Source organism: Homo sapiens, chromosome 4 (assembly GCF_000001405.40).
Source record: "Homo sapiens chromosome 4, GRCh38.p14 Primary Assembly".
Lineage (NCBI taxonomy): Eukaryota > Metazoa > Chordata > Mammalia > Primates > Hominidae > Homo > Homo sapiens.
Genome location: NC_000004.12, coordinates 180,536,788 through 180,556,556, shown reverse-complemented (window position 1 = coordinate 180,556,556; position 19,769 = coordinate 180,536,788). Strand labels below are relative to the sequence as shown.

The 19,769-nt window shown below is 37.8% G+C and overlaps 1 long non-coding RNA gene across 3 annotated transcripts in view; it reads right to left on the bottom strand.

Annotated features, from left to right (window-relative positions):
- Positions 1-577: 577 nt before the first annotated feature.
- LOC105377567 (uncharacterized) overlaps positions 578-19,769 on the bottom strand; it is a 158,458-nt gene continuing 139,266 nt past the window's right edge. For all 3 annotated transcript variants that reach the window (XR_007058395.1, XR_007058394.1, XR_001741469.2), the window contains 2 exons: positions 16,849-16,886; positions 578-1,913 (listed from right to left, as the gene is read on the bottom strand). This is a non-coding gene — a long non-coding RNA (uncharacterized LOC105377567). The remainder of the gene's footprint in view (positions 1,914-16,848; positions 16,887-19,769) is intronic.

The window sequence follows — 19,769 nt, the reverse complement described above, 5'->3', positions numbered from 1 at the left end:
ATAAAGAGGGGTAATAAAAAATTAAGGACCTAAGTTTCTACCATGCAAAATCTAAATAAGAATAAGTTAAATACTGTATTGTGCAAATGCCATTCTTTAGTGATGTAAATCCATAATATATTGGTAAGTTGCCTACGTATGGTGTTTACATACACAGACTAAGGGTGTCATACAAGATGAAGGACAAGCAAATGAAAACAAGTGAAATTTTTAAGTCTCCTGCTATGACTTAAGCATTTCATTAACTTCTTACTCTTCATTTTTTTTTTTTTGCCCCCAAGCCCCATCTTGCTGGAGGGCTTGCCTGTAACCACAAAATTGACTAAAAGTTGGAGTAGTTTCCATATGCTCACCAAGCTGTAGGAATGTCTGGAGGAGAGTGCTTGTCAGGAATGCTGCAGAAAGAAATATATTTTGGGCATCCTCAGCAAGAAATGAATATAGGTTTTCTAATGGAAATATCCTTATTGTGACAAATGATGGTTTTGTGCTATGGTGCATTGTGAATCAAGTCGTCAAAGTGAAGTGTAAACAAAACTTTGGGTGCAGAAGATAATCCCTGGAGTACAGTTTTAAAAAAAAAAGGTAGAACTTTAATCTGTGTTTATTTATTTTTCAGTCCTATCTTTTTGACTTTCTATTTTTACAAATGTGTTATAATGCACACAATATATTAGGATACAATACCTGCAAAGGATTTATAATATATGGAACATGTATTCTTAAAACATTTTACTAATAGAGTTCCAAGAAAGCTTGGCGACTACAATTGATACACATACAGATACTATGATTTATATGACAGTGTTAACCTGCCTTGTGGATAGGCTGAAAATTCTTTCTCCCATTTATAACAATGACTGTGGGAATATTCTTTGTAAATAAGTCATTAGTATTATGACCTACATATGAACTCCTGTTGTTCACCAATGTGTACAGTAGGAACTCTTGAAGTCCTAATAAGAAGAAAATGTAAATTCTTACTAACAACCTCTGATTCCTGCTCCTTTTGGTATCTCAGATCAGTTTAACCGGCCATTATCCAACTGGTGGTTGGATCTATACCCTCTATCTCCTACGGCTAACTCATACATCATTTCAAAAGGGCTAGCCAGAAAATTGTAACTTCTTTCTAGTGAGCCGCATAATGATTATATCTCACATTTTTATAGCACCTTGCAGTTTACAACGCATTTTCATATCCATTATCTCATTTCATATATTGCCCACAAGCCTCTGGCTTCCTGGGATTCTATCATTCAAATCTCTCAGCAGTGACTTTAAGCACCACACTTTTCAATAATGTTGGGTTTTCTTTTATCTTGCCATTCTCTGTCAATTTTACATCCCTGAAGGGTTATGAGTTTCCTCTCTTATTTTTTTTATTTTATTTTTTATTTTTTTTTCTGAGACAGAGTTTTGCTCTGTCGCCCAGGCTGGAGTGCAGCGGTGCGATCTCGGCTCACTGCAAGCTCCGCCTCCCGGGTTCACGCCATTCTCCTGCCTCAGCCTCCCGACTAGCTGGGACTACAGGCGCCCGCCACCACGCCCGGCTAATTTTTTTGTATTTTTAGTAGAGACGGGGTTTCACCGTGTTAGCCGGGATGGTCTCAATCTCCTGACCTCATGATCCGCCCGCCTCGGCCTCCCAAAGTGCTGGGATTACAGGCGTGAGCCACCGCGCCCGGCCTCCTCTCTCATCTTAAAAATTCATCTCCCCTCCATGTCACACTGAACACAGTAGGCGGTCAATCCACACTTGTTGGATGGTTGGAGTCATTATGGGTCAGTCTGGCTTCCTCCGGTCGGGCAGGCTACTCACCGACTTACTTGAATCAAATGGCTCCTGAAACCCCACAAAGACTTCTCTATTTCTTCATCATTCCCCAAGTAGCTACAGGTAGTTTGATTTTCTGAAACACAGAATTTTTTTCCCAACATTGGTATTTACTGCACATGCTTTATTCACATCTCCATATCCAGCTTTTCTAGGAATGTTTATCTATGCTGCAGAGCTAGAGTTAGTTTAAGGAGGTATTACAGAATGTGTAAGTCCATGGTTTAGGTTGGTAGTGAATTCTGTTTGGCAACAATTACTTATCATTCAATCAGTACTGACTGTGTATTTGACAAAAACGAGCCAGGTAGTTGGTGCAGAACTTAGATAGTTGGTGTTATACTGTAGGAAAGGCTATTCCCAAATAACTGTAATACCAAGCAGACTGCGTTAAGCCTCATGAAAGACAGTTTGAATGTGTTTTCAAGTTCAAAGGAAGAAAGAGTACATTCAATTAATGCTGACAAGTTTAATAACAATCACGAGGGTTTAAGAAGTTCCTATTTATGCACAACATTTGTTAAAAATTAAATTAGTAAAAGCAAAAAGATTTAGTCTCTGTGTTTATGAGCACATTATGTTTTAATAAAAACATTAAGGGCATAAAGAGGAATCAGTATTACACACAAATACAAATTAATTGTTAAAAGTAGTAGCAGAGAATTGAAAGTGATAAAAATTTAATATTTCTCAAGCTGTCCCTCATTACTTTCAAGTGATCTAGAGACGTGATTCCTGCCTACATCCCAGTACAGTGGAGAGTCATAAAAAAATGGGTAACATGGGAATTCTATTCTATTGAGCAGCCCTAGCATTTTGTTCAAGGAGTTGTTAGGACTGTGGTTCCCTTTAGCAAGATGTGGCTTCAACATCCATAATTCAACTTACCTGTTCATTGAATTACAGTGATTCTGCTGAGAGGTGTGGAAAACACATTCTCCACAAGAAAACATAATGACAACACAGAGAATGTTCTGAAAAAATTGCTTGCCAGCTTTCAACACTCTGTCTCAAAGACTGACTTCAGGGATACATGTTTTCGTTTTAACCACTTTCCCCCTACTATTTCTTAAAGCCACTGGCTCAAAATTTAGAAGACTAAGATAATGAGAACTCTCTCCTGTGTGTTTTAGCTATTTAACTTAAGATAGTTAACCAGAATTTATACTTATTTAACATTTTATGATGAACCAGAAATGCCGATTTTAGCTCCCAACCACAGGTGAACCTTTTGACAAGTGAGTTTTAGAAAGTGTCATGCAGATACTTCTGCCTTTTACAAATGTGCAGAGAAAAAAATCATAAGTACATGGGAATTGAACTTCCCTGGTATATAATATTTATGCCTTTAGGGTACAGAAAAATTGGCCAAAAGCCAGTTCCTAAATAAATATTCATTGATTTTACCCTAAGGGCACTTGTATCATATTTTACTAATAAGGATGTTGTTTATAGAGGTGGCATTATAAAGAGTAGAGGCTAACGAAATAGCACTTTTATTATCTTTGGTTTCTCCTGAAAAAGAGAGAAAGAAATTAAGAATGTGCATTTTGTTGCCTAAATGAACTGAAAAAGTCCCCAACGTGTCAAAACAAATAAATATCTATTAATTAGTCTATGGTTGAACTGTAAGAATGTTGACGAGGCTGTAGTGTTTCTGGGCCTAAATCTAATTATAAAGGCCAATATCCCCTTGAATGTACATTTACATCTGCATAAATGATCTGTTTAAAATGCTATTATAAAATTATTTACTAAAACCTTTCTGGAAATTTTGTATTTGAGAAAGTTATTTCAAAGTGTCATTCTCTAAAAGCTTCTGAACTGATTGCATAGGAACTTCATTTTTGTTCTATCCCGTTCTCTGAACAAAGTTGTTCTTGTTTAGTTGAACGACCATTTGGCAGTAAAACTTCCGTAGTTTCAGCTTCCACAGGTGTTTGTTTTATGAGAGGGGCCACAACTGCAGACTGAAATAGGGCATATTGAGAACATATATGATATTACACAATCTTCCTTTGCTGTTCTTCAACACCAGGAAAGTGTCAGTCTGCCGCTGAGATCCCAATGGCTTTGGAAGAGGAACAAACTTTTCTGAGTTTTGAAGGTTGACGTCCACATGAGCAACCATACTCTCCTATAAAATTTTCCTTTGTACCACCATCAAAGACAATATTCTGTACTGACTCAGTGACTGTACCACAGATCTCAATCTGTCCGACATTTCCTACCTTCTCAAATAATACACAGAGGTGAGATCTGAATAAATTTTAAGGAGCTAAGTTTTCCCTTTGGATAACAAGAAAAATAGATTATGTCAGGATTGCAATATATAATTGTTATAATATGCATGAAGTTATCTTGATTTATATCTACAAATAAATAAATTCCCTGTTTCGAAGAATTACTCAGTTAGTTGTATTAATTATACTATATTATAATCAGGTATTTTTAGTTTTGCAAAGTATCTTTTCCACATTTGTGTGGTTTATACTTAGGGTAATGCTGAGCATTAGATAAATTAGATGTGGAGTTTAGTAGTTCTCAGATCCTGAAATGAGCTGCTTTCATATTAGGAACACCCATATTCTAATAATATGCAGGTTGTTTGGACCCAGTACTGGGATTAGAATCTAGTTTCCTTACTTCTGGCCGAAACGTTTTGTTGTGGTTACTTTATTTATTTATTTTGTTATTATATAGCATCAATTGTTGTGTTGTCACATGGAATAAAGCAACATAGTTTAACAGTTTATAGTTTTAATATAAACTAAAGGTAAAATCCAAACTAGAGTAAGTCAGCAAATGTTGAGTGCTATGATAGGATTAGCACCACACTAGAGGCTACATAAAATAAAACTCCACCCCAAGGAAGATTGTTATCTAACCAGAGGAATATAGGAAACATCTTCAGATATCAGAAAATGTAGTTCAATGAAAAATTAGTATTCACGCACCATCTAAAATAGGGGTTCAGAAGTGGGAGATAGATTTAGAGACTGCACAGTAAGATTCATGGACGACAGTTTGAAATGAGCAAGCTACATTTTAGCATCAGTGAGTACAGCATGCTTACTGGAAGAGAGGGTCATGCAACAGATTAGGAGGTAAGTTTGCAAAGGCAGGCTAAGGGAGGAGACGCACTGAATGCCATGGTAAGAACTCTGGACATAAAAATATTGGAAGTTGTTGAGCAAGTGAAAAAAATGTTTGGAAGTGTTACTTTAGCAATGGCAAGAATGATAGTATGGAATAGATTGGCAGAATGAAGGCAAAATGATTAGACATATTGCATTAAGGTAAAAAATGATAACTGAAGAATTATGTGCCACACTTATTAATAAGAAAGAATATGTGAACCTTGCAGATGTTTCCCTCTAGTAGAACCAGAGGCCAAGAGGAACCTAGTAACTCAAACAGATCTTTCAGCAATCAGTAGAAGAGCTCTTCACATCTTCATAGGGTCAGCTTGCTTAGATATTGAATCATCTTGCCAATTCCTTCATGACCCACAGTGAAGCCTCATACTTGTTCATTTCGTTCCTTATGGTCTCTGTGTAGTATCTTCTGGTTTTCTAGACACTGTAGTTAAGATTAATTTGTTTATTTATTTATTTGTTTATTTTTGAGATAGAGTCTGGCTCTGTCACCCAGGCTGGAGCGCAGTGGCACAATCTTGGCTCACTGCAACCTCTGCCTCCCGGGTTCAAGTAATTGTCCTGTCTCAGCCTCCTGAGTAGCTGGGACTACAGGTGCATGCCACCACACTTGGCTAATTTTTTGTGTATTTAGTAGAGACAGGGTTTCACCTTGTTAGCCAGGATGGTCTCAATCTCCTGAGCTCGTGATCCACCCGCCTCACACTCCCGAAGTGCTGGGATTACAGGCATGAGCCACCGCGCCCGGCCGAGATTTATGTTATATCAAGAAATTCAACCATCCCTCAGTGTCCATGGGTTCTGCATCCTCAGATTCAACCAACCCCAGATTGCAAATATTAAAAAATAAAAACAACAATAAAAATAACACAACAATAAAAATAATAAAAGGCTGTATAACAACTGTTTATATAGCACTGACAATGTATTAGGTATTATGGTTACAGTAGGCAGACAGTTAGACATGAGTGGGACATGGGGGGCATGAAAAAAGGCAAGTCTGGAAAACCTGACACCAGAAACCAGAAACCTGCATGCTATGGATGACCAGACAAGAGGGGAAATATCTGCAGAAAGAAACACCCCTTAAGACGCCCAGTAATTGCTCACTCTGCAGTTAACTTGTCAGAATGTAGCTACCTAAATGCTGATAAGGAGGGGAAGAGGTCAAAGGAGAAACTCCTAAGATATACAAAGGCACAGTAAGTGCAGATTTAACTGCTATGAGGCTTTCCTGGGGTGGCAGTAATGAGCAACACCACCACTAGGTAGAATTCGTATCCGGGCCTATGCAGGTGCATCAGCTGACAGTAAGGGGGAATCCCACAAACCTGGGATGGGAACTAGCTGGAGAGAGGTGGAGACAAGGCAGCAGCGAGAAAACTAGACAAAGAAAAAAGATGGAGACTTAAGACAGGGGTGGAAACTTCAAGAAAAATCCGACGTTGTAAAAACCGAATGCCGATCTCTCAGGGCTGCTACTGGCTCATTCTCTTTCAGCAGCCCACTCTGCCTCGTCTTTCAGAGTGTCCTGTCTCTCTAAATCAACTCTCTGCTATTTTCCTTCGATAAATTCTCCTCTTTGGCTAAATTGTCTCTTGGCTGAATTCTTTCTCCCAAGTTAGACAAGAACCAAGATTTGTGCACTTCCTGGTAACATTGCAAGTAATCTAGAAATGATTTAAAGTATATGGAAGAATGTGCATAGGTTATGTGCAAATAGTCTTTTTTTTTTTTTTACAAGGGACTTGATTCTCATATCTGTGCGGGTTCCTAGAGCCAATTCCTCAAGGATACCAAGAGACCACTGTATTTGTATGTACCATAGCCACATTTTCTGCAGACATCCCTGAGCTACTTTTGAAGAATACATCTGTAATTTAACCGTCACACTTAATGGCTAACTGAACACATGGAAGAAATAGTGTTGGGGAAAAGATATAATTCAAAAATAAATATGTCTGATCCTGGATAGTGAGAGAATAACCAATATTAAGTGTTTCTCAAAATTTAGTAAAGAATATACAAAATACCACAAAAATGTTATCACACTTAATTTTTATTAAAGTGCACTTAATATTGTTTATCTGCTTATAAACAGCAAATTAGCCCTTATAAAACTGAAAAAGTACCCTCAAACTTTAAAAATCTGTAAAACCAGTACAACTTAAAGTAACCGTTTCAAGTTTTTTACATAAAAAAGCAGCAAATCGTGTCACTCACAGCAACATGGATGAGCCTGGGGTACATTATGTTAAGTGAAGTAAGTCAGGTACAGAAAGATAAACACTATATGTCCTGACTCATATGTGGACCTTAGAAAAGTTGATCTCCTAGAAGTAGATAGTAGAATAGTGATTACCAGAGGGGGGAAAGGGTAAGTGGAAGGGGAGATAGAAAGAAGTTGGTTAAAAGAAACAAAATTACAGCTAGGCAGGAGGGGTAAGTTCTAGTGTCCTATAGAGCTATAGAGTGATTATCGTAAACAATAATTTATTGTAATTTTTCAAATAGCTAGAAGAGACGATTTTGAATGTTACCAACACAAAGCAATGATAAAGTTTTGAGATAACCGATATGCTAATTACCTTGATTACATATTGTTTACATGTATCAAAATATCACACTGTAGCCCATAAATATGTACAATTATTATGTTTCAATTAAAATATATATGTTAAAAACATGTAACTTTCCTGTCTGAAAAATAAATAAAAGAGGCATAATATATTATCACTGATAATGTTGTTTAGAGGAGACTAAACGGCCACTTGCAATATTACTAAATTTTAAAGTGGAAACTTTTATAAATTCCACTTTGTATTATTTGTCAAGTAATGACTTAATTCTCCCAACAATTTTCTGCATTCTAACGACAGTGAAACAGGTGATTCCAGCTTTCTTGGCTTCAGATGGCTTTAACTTAACGTTAACACTTTATTTAACTGATTTATCTTTCTCTCACTCTCTCTCTCCCCGCCCCCTCATGGTTTCTTACAAACTATAGCAGTACAATTTGAAATTGCATGGTACACAGTATTATAAGGTGGTTAATCAGGATCCCATTAGCATTCATATATCAACATATTTAAAGATTAATGAAGAATCAAAACACAGAGATGCACACTTAATCATAAAAATCTCATGGGAAACTCATGAACCCCTGAAAATAGGTTTGAGGGTGTCCAATTTCTGGGAAAATCAGGTTTGAGAAACACACATAAAACAGTGAAAGTCACAAAAGAAGAGAAGTATTTACATTTTTGTTTGTTTGTTTGTATTCCAGGAACGATGATTAATTTTCTTTGGGCTAAGCAGAGGTAGAAATGACAGGAGAACATTTTCAACTAAATGATGTATATGAAAATTTTACATTTTCCTTGTAAGAGTTGCTGCCTCCAAACACACATTTTCCTCAGTGAGAGCAGTATTTATAATATATATAAAACACTCCAGATTTTCGTTCTGTAAATCTATTCTTTCTGGGCTTTTAGCCAAGATGTAGGAACATGCTGATAACTCAGGTGACAATTTCTATATCACCTAGGTCATTACTATAGTTACAAATGGAATATTTGAGTTGTATGAAATTTATAATTCCATTTAACAAAAAAGGAGGGAAAAGCCTGACTTTTTTGCATTATTTGCCATTTATTTCAACTGCAGTTCTTTGAGAGTGGAAGACGGGCGTCTACATGGTTTGAACAATAACCACAATAGTCAGACTTATGTTCTTGCCAGTGGGTGAAAAAAAATCTAAGGGAATCTTCAACTCTTAAGTAAATGTGAAGTTGCTAGAGGACACTGTTTCCTCCTTAATCCTTTAAATACTGGAATGTGGTTCATAGTTTTGTCCCCAAATGCTCTTGGATATGTTCAAGTCTCCTAGGTCCTCTGCTGCTCCTTTAGAAACCCTCTGTTTCAACCATACTGGTGTAAGCAGATTTTTTTTTCTGTCTGATCTCCTCTAAAGAGGCTATTGTGAGTCTTGCCCTGCTAAGCTTGAGATCACTGTGGAGATACAGAGATGGGCAGACAAGGAACAAGCGAGGAGGTGAATAAGTCCCAACAGGTAGAAAGTTCTGAGCTCAAAGGCTGAGAAGCCAACCTTAGGTCTTAACTCCATGGGACAAAAGAAGGGGAAGGGGACAAATGATAACAACTTTTGTGTTCTGAATGGGGAAGAACTGGTGTAAAGGATGAGTGAATTATAGCCAGATGCAAGCTGAAGGCGTTTAGGCAGATGGCCCTACACAGCACAGAACAGCCCTCTAGTAACAAGGCTTCTATGGCTCAGGTAAACATGGCCTGGTCTCCAGGCATAAGGAACTCCTGTTGCTAATTAAGAAAAGTAGGTTGCACTTTGGGAGGCCGAGGCTGGCAGATCACTTGAGGTCAGGAGTTAGAGACCAGCCTGGCCAGCATGGTGAAACCCCATCTCTACTAAAAATACGAAAATTAGACAGGCACAGTGGCTCATGCCTGTAATCCCAGAACTTTGGGAGGCCGAGGCTGGCAGATCCCTTGAGGTCAGGAGTTCAAGACCAGCCTGGCCAACATAGCAAAACCCCATTTCTACTAAAAATAAAAGAATTAGCCAGGTGTGGTGGTGCATGCCTATAATCCCAGCTACTGGGAGGCTGAGGCAGGAGAATCACTTGAACCTGGGAAGTGGCAGTTGCAGTGAGCCAAGATCACGCCACTGCACTCCAGCCTGGGCAACAGACTGAGCCTCTGTCTGAAAAAAAAAAAAAAAAATTGCCGGGCATGGTGGTGGTGGTGCGTGCCTGTAATCCCAGCTACTCGGGAGGCTGAGGCTGGAGAATCTCTTGAACTCAGGAGGAGGAGGTTGCAGTGAACTGAGATCATGCCACTGCACTCCAGCCTGGGTGACAAAGCAAAACTCCATCTTAAAAAAAAAAAAATTAAAAAAGAAAGAAAAGTAGGTTGATGATCTTATGATGGATCCTGTGTAGCGTGAAGCTGCTAGAATGTGTTAAATTCATACTGAGCAACATGCAAGGATGTTCAAGACATATTGCAGAGCAAAATCAGAAGTAGGCAATCCAAACACGTAAACAAAGCCTGGAACATAAATGGAGGAAATCCTTGAGCCTGGAGATCCAGTGTCTCACATTTTCAAGCAGTAGGACTTTCAAAGTGACTGCAGAACTGCTTGAGGGAACACGGAGATAGCACAGCTAAAGAATGGTAGAGTGTTTCTTTGATAATAAATCTGCAGCATGAATAATAAAATACCACTTGGAAATACTTCCATTAGTTCACCTCTGGGAACTTATCTGAAGGGACTAATAGAGGTTGTACATATGTACAGAGGTTCTCCTTATGACATTATCACTAAGAGGGAAAACTAGAAAACAAGATGAATGTTCAACTGTGGTACACGTGTAGCCTGAAGCTGTTAGAATGTGATAAAAATGATACCGAACAACAAGCAAGGATGTTCAAGACACATTGTAGAGCAAAATCAGAAGCAGGCAATAAAACCACGTATAAACTGCAGTACGAGTCAAAGTTCCAACTAGGAATGGATGGCACCTCCTTCTTATTAGGACAATTCCCAGACAGTTAAAGAAAGGAACCATTGATCACGAGGTCAGGAGATCGAGACCATCCTGGCTAACGCAGTGAAACCACGTCTCTACTAAAAATACAAAAAAAAAAAAAAAAAAAAAATTAGCTGGGCGTGGTGGCGGGCGCTTGCAGTTCCAGCTACTCGGGAGGCTGAGGCAGGAGAATGGCGTGAACCCGGGAGTCGGAGCTTGCAGTGAGCCACGATCGCGCCACTGCACTCCAGCCTGGGCGACAGAGCGAGCCTCTGCCTCAAACAAACAAACAAACAAAACAGAGGAACCACTGATAAAGGTGTAGGTGGAATGTTCCGAAAACCCCAAGAAGTTCCAAAGGAAAATTCTTACCGTGCCTTGGGTGGCAGGGACAGACAAGGGGCAGTTCCCACAACCCAGAAGAGAGTTGCTGAGGGAAGTGTGCCTGGCGGGGAACTGAGAACTGTGGCCAAGGGACACAGACAGCTTGAGGTGATCTTGGAGGGAGGGAGCCAGAGAAAGAAACCCTGATCTCACTCTCTTATCTCCTTCTCATCTCCCTGGCTATCTCTCTCCCTGACAGACAAAATCCAGACCCAGAGAGACCTTGATGCCTCTCAGGACAGAGGGCGGGATGGGAAACAGCATATCTAAGAAAGGGACTTGGAATACAGTAGCCCCCCAACTCACTGAGGGCATACCTTCCCAGACCCACAGTGGATGCCTGAAACCACAAATAGTAAGCAACCCTGGCCGGGCGCGGTGGCTCACGCCTATAATCCCGGCACTTTAGGAGGCCGAGGCGGGTGGGTCACGAGGTCAGGATTTTGAGACCAGCCTGACCAACATGGTGAAACCCTGTCTCTACTAAAAATACAAAAATTAGCCGAATGTGTTGGCGCACGCCTGTAATCCCAGCTACTAAGGAGGCTGAGGCAGGAGAATCGCTGGAACCCGGGAGGCAGAGATTGCAGTGAGCCGAGATCGTGCCACTGCACTCCAGCCTGGGTGACAGAGTGAGACTCTGTCACAGAAAAAATAAATAAATGAAATAAAAATAAATAAATAAATAAAAATAGTATGGAATCCGATATATAGTATTTTTTCTATACCTATATACGTATGATAAAGTTTTACTATAATTAGGCACAGTAAAAGATTAACGACAGCTAATAGTAAATTAGAAGAATTATAAGTATATACAGTGGACCCTCAATATCCACAGGTTCTGCATCCTTGGATTCAGCTGACCCCAGATTGAAAATAATCCAAAATGTTTTTTAATTTAAAAATTTACAATTATAAATAATACAAATAAAAATACATTAGAGCACTTAGTTACATAGCATATGCATTGTATTAGGTATTACATATAATCTAGAGATAGCTTAAAGTATACAGGAGGATGAGTGTAGGTTCCCAGACCAAGACTCACAGTGATGATGCTGATGGCTGGATGTCAGAAGCAGCCACATCAGTGACTAATGGGTGGGTAGTGTCTACAGTGTGGCTATGCTAGACAATTGGATGGCCCAAATGTGAGGCAGGACAGAGCAGGATGGCATGATATTTCACCATGCTACTCAGAATGGCACACATTTTAAAATGGATAAATTTGTTTATTTCTGGAATGTTTCTTTTAATATTTTCTGGACCATGGTTGACCACAGGTAATGGAAACTGAGTAAGGTGAAACGGCCGGCAAGAAGAGATTAGTCTATATCTGCGCAGCTGCCATAACATTGATTACGTATAAATAAATGCATTAAAAGTCCAGTTGAACACTGGAATTCCAGTAGTAGTTATCTCAGAATAATTGGGTGATGGTGAAATTTTGTCTTCTATAAATTCACCATAACCCAGGAGCTGCATTTGATGCTCTTTCTATAACGAACGTTCATTGTGGAAAGAGAAGCTTGCTCATATTTATTTTATTGTATAATTCAAGTTGTAATATCTATACCGATTTTCAATATGAAGGTTTTGTACTTATGGTAATTATTTAAATTAAGAAAACTAGTTCTTGGGAATTCTGAGGAGAAAAAGGTGGCCCAAGCATGCACTTTAATCACTCTCTCAAGTGGTGTGAGGCAAACACATTTAATCTAAGGTAAATGTATAAAAGTAAATGTGTGATGATATGTGGAAAAAAGGACCGAATGCTAAATTTTATTCTATAGAGACGAAATTCATTTAAAGAAACCCAACATTTTATCTGGTTTTCTATGCTTTACATATTCACCTGAAATAGTGATATAAAGTTCGATCTCAAAAATATGCTAATGACCAAATTGCCAGTGAAAACATGTCAAAAGTTGGAAGTTATAAAGAAGCATAGAGTTTGATTCAGAAATGAAATAGAGGTACCATGGCTCAAGAGAACTAGGTACAATATCAGAATTATCAAAAAATGAAATAGAAATGCATGTGTGCCTTTGGCAAGGAAGTCAACAATACATGATGTAGGTTTTAAAAAATATGTGCAAGCAGGACATTCTAGATGTAAAGAAAAAAAAGTCTCTGGATTTTTCAGTCTTCTAGGAAAAACTGCACGCTAAAAAATAAAATTTATTCAGAAGTGTTAACTTTAGATTTGAATGCTTCTCATATAGTTGCAATGCTCACAATGGACACCCCTATCCAACTTCTAACCTATAAGCCCAGATAAACTCATCACATGCTACTTTTATGATCATTTTAACATCAGTGTGTGGATTTATCAAAATTAATATAGGATTACTGTTCAAAACAATCAAGAAGCAAAGAATAAACAAAAACATCCATTTGTCTGATTGGGGAAGAAATTGTTTTGTGATTAGTAGGTATAATTAGTAGGTTTTGGCTTGAGAAGAGTGAGGCAAACCATAAGAAATTTAGGCTCACATAGATGATATGATGAGATAAAAAAGGTATTTTCTGAAAGCACTAGAATCCAGCAGTAACTTTTCAGTAAAAATAGAAAGTAAATCAAGAGAAAACTACAAGATAAAAAATCAACAAATGTCAAAGACTTTCAATTCTTTATTATTAAAGCACTTGGAATGACATTTAAGGGTCAATTAAAAAGTTCTCAGGGGAATCTATTGTCCTTTTTTCTTAGTCACCAGGATTAGGTAACTATGCCTGGCAAATTGTGACATATAGGTCTTCTATCATTTTTCCCAGAACTTTACTAATGTCACATATACATTGCATTATTCAAGCAGAGAATTCCATTTAAAAATGAATCTCTCATTTATCACTTGTAAACTATCTTCATTTTTGGCTTTTTGCTATTAAAACACATCAAGCTCCCTGTCAACACTCAGTTTATTTTGGCAAGGAGCCTGGGGAGGGCTGGGCTATTGAGGAGCTGAGTCACATTACCACATGCAGTACATTTTGTCTGGTTTTCTTGTCTCATATTTGCATATGCATGAGTAAATCCATAGAAGGAAAATAGCACATGAATTGCTTTTACGTGATAGAATGACGTCGACAATTTGAACTGCTTTGGGTGTCAGAAACCCCAGTATTAACCGATGTTCTGCAGAGTTTAGCCAAGTCACGTCCTTCTCTGTTTCCTGATCAGAAACACAAAAGTCGTGATTTCCCCCAAACTTAACAAAACTGTTTGGCTCAGGTGTATGAGAATTTGTGATAAGCAAAACATATAAATTATTCTTAAAATTTTGAAGGCAACTAAAAAATCAAAGGGGTTGGAGAATAGTACAGAGAAGATTTAAAATAATGTGTTCACAATTTTCAGAGGAGAACTAGATATCAATTTATGTCCATTTGAAATTTTTTATCTGCAGTGGGAGAAAGGGGAAAAAGAGAAAGAGAATATTTACGTGAAGCCTTGGATGCACGTAGAAGCTTTATAACAAGCATGGAGAGGAAGCAACCCTACTTTTATAAGTTTACAGGGCTGCCTGGGAATAACTTTGGGCCTCAAATTATTCCCCATACCAAAGAGCTCATCATATTCCCTTGTATTTAGGTTAAACCATTACAAAAGCTCATTAAAATGTAAATACTACCTTGAAAGGCTATTGAAACATTTTCAGTCATGTAGCTATTCAATTACCCAGCAGAGTTTGGAGAGAAAGGATTGTAAGGAGATGCTTTCCTAAATAGAGGAATAAAAGAAGCTAGAACAGGGCCCCAGTTCTAAGCTTTAGTATGTAGTAAAGAGGACTAGGTCTCTGGACAAGAAATAGCCTAAGTAAGGGCACTGAAGAGAAGACAAAAAAGGAAAGAAGTATTTAAGATTCATAAAGAGTTTACTAAAATGAGAGTTGTTTGCATTCACAAAATGCCTGTAAATCAATCTCATGGGTGTATACTTTCACACCAACAGAAGGCAGCATCTTTATACAGAGTTTAGCAAGATATTATGTTCTGTTTTGTAGATGTGAATAGTCTACCAGGTTAGTATATTCAAGGCAAAGTTTATATACATAGAAGAAAAAAAAAGAGACAAGCTTACCATAAAATTATAGTTTTATCAGATACAGCATTAAGGAATTTGTCTAAGGCTGTGTACACAAGATGAGATTGACTCTTAGGGGAAAGCAGGGAACCAACAAATCACTTGCAGCATGTTTATGGCAGTTGTGCAAAATAGGTATTATTATATTCAGTCTGAAAACTAATTTAAATGTCTCAGAGGGGTGAAGTAACTTGCCTGAAATCACACAGCAAGTAAGAGCTGGAGGTAGGTCTACAAGTGAGTTCTAACTGATCCTAAAGTCTACGTTCTTTTTACTACCCAGTTTGTATGGAAGGGGAAAAAAACTTTCGAAATGGTTAAATTTTTTACTTTTCTTGATTGTTTTTCTGCAATGTAGTCTAAACCATGGCTCTCATAACCTGTACATCATATATTTACATAGCTTAAGATTAACTTATAAAAAAAGAACTTCGTTGTAATTCTGTCATAGTTACCAACTTCCATGACATGGCAGAATTTGTGAATTGTACTTTTAAACATAATTCTTGGTAACTTACTTAACAGAATTACGGGCTCCTACCGTAAGAGAGCAGGAATTTACAAGTAACAGACGTGCTATTTTCAAAATGCAAAGTGCCTGTAAAATATATTGCTTTGCTAACTGCATAACTAGCTGTGATAGTTAGCATGATGCTAATACATCAAGCTAATACACCAACTTTACCTGATAGCAGAAATACAACCCCGTAAATAAACAATTATCAGGTGGAGGAAAGAGTTATAATTTATTAATTTACTTATCTTGGCAACATAATTACACACAGAGCTCCTCCGTTATTATAAGCAGAAGCTGAATTCAAATGCCCTAAAGGCAAGAAGTTTCTCTCGTTACAGCATCCAAAACGTATAGAAGTAAAAAAGTGATGATACTCAACCAAGAGGTATAAACAAGTGAAACTTCCAAGCTAGAGCAGTAATAGAGATTGATGTTTGCCATGGATGCTGTAGAAGGGTGTCTTCTGAAGACATTCACCATGACTTGTTAGAGAAACAAAGACTATACCAGGAATACAGTAATTAATCACCCCTCTATGTTTTCACTGTCTGAATCAATGCTTAGGGAAAGGCAAGCCGAGAAATAACACAACGAAGGAGTCATTTTTGGGTACATAATAAAGCACAAAGTATTCTCTACTTAAGCATTTAGTTTGCTTTCAAACATCACAGAATTCTTGAAAATTTAAATACTAGATTGAGTCAGCTCTAAAATTTAACTTATGGTTGAAACTAATACATTGCAAAATTTGAAAATATAAATGTAGTCTAGTCAAAACTGTACAGTCTTTATTGGTAAGTAATATCTTTCAGACACAAACATTTTTAACTTTCAAAATGTACAAGCCCATTCTCTGACTCCAATTAACCAAACAAATAAGAAAGAAAAACCAGTAAAACAACAACAACAGCAACAACAACAACAAAAGCAAACTGTGGCCATACTCTAAGTTACTGGCAATTTCCATGAAAATTATCTACATCCATCCAGAACTGAAACAAATGTGATCAAACTGAACTGTGTTAGTTGTATCTTACTTCAACAGGTATTTCTTCTAAAAATCACCAGGTTAATTAATTATTCTTACTAAAATAGAAAACTGCGCCAGTTTGTCCTTTATACTTAATGTCAGCACCATGAACGATAATCTGGAGCTTAAGATAATTAATACTATATATCCTCGCCTTTGAACAACACAGCTGTCAGCCATGGGGCTTTAAAATTAATAGGCTCTTCAAAGCTATAAATCAGAAATGATGATAATTTTATATAATATTTCTTAAAAAGGCACTTACCTTTTAAAAAGGAAAACACACTTCTGGCAGCAAATTGCCTGTTAAAATAAAACATATCATTTATTGGTATCCAGTAAATGATATAAAGAATGATGCATTGTTATACTAAGCACAATTACAGCACAACTTTAAAAAAACTTTTCCTGACCTCATTTAGTTTCTTTTTTACCCGAAAAGAAAATCACCTCCTTGGTGGTAATAATTAAACGCTTTTCTGTTCATTGCATGTGCACTGAAACCACAAAAGCTAATGAGTTTCATGTCTGAGAGCAAAAACAGAAATTACGGGGCACATTATCCAGGTCATGGGTATAGATTGGAGCATATTCCACTCAACGTCTATAATGAGAAGCATGTGAATTAAGGTCTATTCCAGAAAATTTAAAGGTTAGGTGTCATAGAGAATTTCATTTCTACTAGATAAAAATAAAATACCACTGGGTAGAAGTTATTAATATCAAATGTACTCTTTTCAAATATTACATTAGTTATTTGAGTTCCTTATATACTTTTCACTGTGCTGCATTAACGTCCAAGAGATTTTTATTTACAATACCTCACAAATATCACTGAGATAAAATAAGGTAAAATCAAGGTTTCATGCAATGTATACTTGAAACAAGCTGGCCAGAATCAATAAAACATTTAATCCCAACCAGAGGAAAGGAGGGATATACTGGGTAACTAGAAGGAGAAACAGCAGCAGAAGAAACTCTTTTGATTGTTTACTTTCCTGTAGGACCTGAATTGGTTTTCTCAGAAGTGAAAACCAAAAGTATCGAGTATAATTTCCTTAGGAACTCTGCTTTATTTGCATATGCAAGACTACGCAGATGCATTTTTTTCAGCTGTCTCTGTACGTCACAAATGCTGACGTTTGAGTTTCTCAAATTACAGAGAATTGTTTTTAACTTTGTTTTATTGTCTCTTCAAAACAAGTAAAATCCCAATGCTTGCAAAATTGATAAGTGTAGATACTAATTTGTAAACAGAGGTAGATGATGTTGCAAAGTCATCTGAGTTAACTTGAGTGTTAAATTGTCAGGACAGCAAAATTGCTTCTCACTCCAGTCCTAGACTGACTCTCTAACAAGATTTAGAAAGGGGTCGGGTGCTCAGAGGTGGATGGAGTGGCGGTCTGGTAATTCTCTTGGCTCCTTGGGAATGGCTCTCCTTCTGAGCAGACCTTCCTCTCCTGGTGCCCTGTCTCTCATATTGCACTCGTTGGAACTGCATTTCCTCCCTGATGGTGCCTTCTCAAGCAATTAAAGGCAAAACTGACTAATAGTAAATGAAACAATTAATACAAATTTTCATCCGTCTACAGAGATGATTTTAAGATGTCTCTTTGCTTTGATATAAACAGAAGCATTTAGGGCAAAATAAATTTCTCAAGTTTTAGTTCCGTTAGTTCTTGAAAATAAACAGTTTATTACTGAACCAGCACACAAAAACAGTTTTCTTCCCCCACTACTGCCACGATAGCTGAATTTCCACAATCTCTCAAAATGGCTATTACTTTAGCTTGCTAAGAGTCTTCACAATTCTCTAGCTATTCATGCACCTAACCCCAACCCTAATCCTTTATCCACACAGATGTTAAGAGTGTTTTTTTTTAATAAGCAGGTATAATCAACTTTCAATCCTACCTAACTATTGCAACATTTTCTTTTTATCGCTCATTTGAAAATCCTTGACATGGTCTCCAAGACTTGTTCAGAACCCTGCTGACTTCTCTGTTCTAATTTCCCCAGCACCCTCCTTACTCATCATTCTGCAGAGACACTGGCCTTTCTTTTATGCTAAAATGTGCATCCCTATTTCCTTTCTCAGCCTTGGGACCTTAGCAAATGCGAGAGCTGAGAAAGTCACTTCCCTCATCTAATTCTTGCTCTAACTTTTGAATCCCAAACATCCTCTCATTAAATAATCTTCCTCGAATCCTAAGCTGGATCCCTTTTGCAATATTGTAGTTGTCTTTTGCTCAGTTTTCCATTTTCAAGCATTGCAGAGACAAATTCTGACTCTGCTTAATCCCCTTTTGGATAGAGTGGACATAAAATTTATTGCTCACACTGGAAGACTTTTGAGATTAAAGAAGGAAGTAAATGAACAAGATGCTAGCACACTAATGTGATCCAGCACTGGGCTCGGCAAACCGGGGGCATATGGTCAACCACTCTGTGGAGGGAAAAGTTACCATTTCATCTTAAGGCTGCCCAACATGACCTAAAGGGACAAGATGCAAGCAGCTGATGAGCTTTAAAAGCTGATGGCTACTCACATGACGTGTTATACAAACAGTCAAAGTGTGAACAATTTTTAGTGTTTTTCCCTGTTGTAAACAACTATGATAAAACATTTCCCTAAACAGCTCAAAGTAACATCACAACAGTATGCAATTAATGCATCAGGTTATAAATAGCTGGACTATAGCCCAAATCAAGGACACCAATTAAGTGATATCTGGGCTTCATTCTGTGCAAGCCAGGGCTGTCATTTCTCAGTCTTGCTGCCAACTTCTCTCTGGTTAGAAGCACATTCCTATCCATCAGCTTCCCAATCAAGGGCTGCGGCAAATGACCTTAACTCTTCTACCTGAGTGCACTGGTGATAGACATAAGTTCAGTGGAAGAGAGGTGGCCATTTAGCTCTTCTAACAGCTTTGCAAAGTCCTCTTTGAAAATATTTTAGGGTGAGGCGTGAACACTATTTTAGTGTGAGGAGAAGCAATAGACCCTTCCCTTCAGAAACTGATCTTCAAATGAACTATCCACAGAAAAAGATAAAGAAGAAAAAGCTGGGAGGCCAGTTGTGGTGGCCCATGCCTGTAATACCAGTGTTTTGGGAGGCCAAGGTGAGAGGATCACTTTAGGCTAGGAGTTTGAGACCAGCCAGGGCAACATAGTGAGACCCCCATC